Source organism: Homo sapiens, chromosome 1, assembly GCF_000001405.40.
Source record: "Homo sapiens chromosome 1, GRCh38.p14 Primary Assembly".
NCBI lineage: Eukaryota > Metazoa > Chordata > Mammalia > Primates > Hominidae > Homo > Homo sapiens.
This window is the reverse complement of record NC_000001.11, coordinates 242,593,665-242,594,812: the sequence shown is the minus strand read 5'-3', so window position 1 is coordinate 242,594,812 and position 1,148 is coordinate 242,593,665. Positions and strand designations below refer to the sequence as shown.

The window sequence follows — 1,148 nt, the reverse complement described above, 5'->3', positions numbered from 1 at the left end:
CCAAAAACCCACATAATGAATATTTTATTCCTGATACACAATTCAATATCCTTAAGTTCATCAATATCATTATACATTCTATGCAAACAATAAACATAGTGTGAGGTAATGCAAACATGTATGTGAAATTTGGCTTTACACCAAATCCAGCTTCATGCTTAACTATATTAAAAAAAGAATTGTCAAACTGCCTATTATTTTTCTTCAATCAAGACTAAGAGCTTTAACTATGAAAATGTTAGTTAGCCAAATGTCTCCCATTCTCTATCAGGTTTTAAAGAATATTTTATTATTTAAACTTTTTCCACATCTTTCTCTCCTACTGAATGATTCCTGACTACACTGTTCAAATCTACACCTTTTCAAATCTGTAATTTCAACTAACTTTTAGATAAATTCTGAATTAGACAAAATTATTCTTTTTACCACTAAAAACATAACTCTGTCTGGCACGTTTTGTATACAGAATTACATGTGAACTAGAATTTTATCCTTAGTAATCTAAAACTTTAGTGAAACCCTGAGAAGCAGGAAATCCTGAACTATTAGGTATAGGCATTTATGGATAAGAACAATTCCACAATTTTAGAAACGTATTTCCCCATATCACAACCCTTTCTTGAAATGACCCAGATATTAAATGAGCATTAAAAATAACTTTAAGATTTTAATTTACACAAAAAGCTTACCTAAAACATATATCCCATTCACTGTACTTAATTTTTTACTTTTAACAAGGGAGACATGAGACATCAATCAACATATGTAAAATAAACACTGGTTTGATCCGGAAAGGCAGGAGGGGACTTGGGGGCTTTCAGATTACAGGTGGGAGACAAAGGGTTGCATTCTTTTGAGTTTCTGATTAGCCTTTCCAAAGAAAGCAATCAGATATGCACTTATCTCAGTGAGCCTTTGAATAGAATGGGAGGCAGGCTCCCCCCAAGCAGCTCCCAGCTTGAATTAACACTGATATTTAAAAATATCTAGCAAAGACAAACATAAAATTCCGACAAAATGTATGCTGACAATTCTGAAGGCCTTTCTATTTTTATTCTGCCAATAATTTTAAAGCTAGCTTGTTTAGTAAAGTAATACTTTAAGTCACGTGAACTTGAAAATTACTTAGACTTATTTAATGTATGAAC

General features: G+C 31.9%; 1 annotated feature.

Moving 5' to 3' along the window:
• Window positions 582–1,148: an enhancer, noted in NCBI's record as "OCT4-NANOG hESC enhancer chr1:242756967-242757533 (GRCh37/hg19 assembly coordinates)". NCBI's record gives its function as "activates a minimal SCP1, AML or CMV promoter by ChIP-STARR-seq in primed H9 embryonic stem cells {active_cell/tissue: H9 hESC(primed)}" and the evidence as "EXISTENCE:reporter gene assay evidence [ECO:0000049][PMID:30033119]".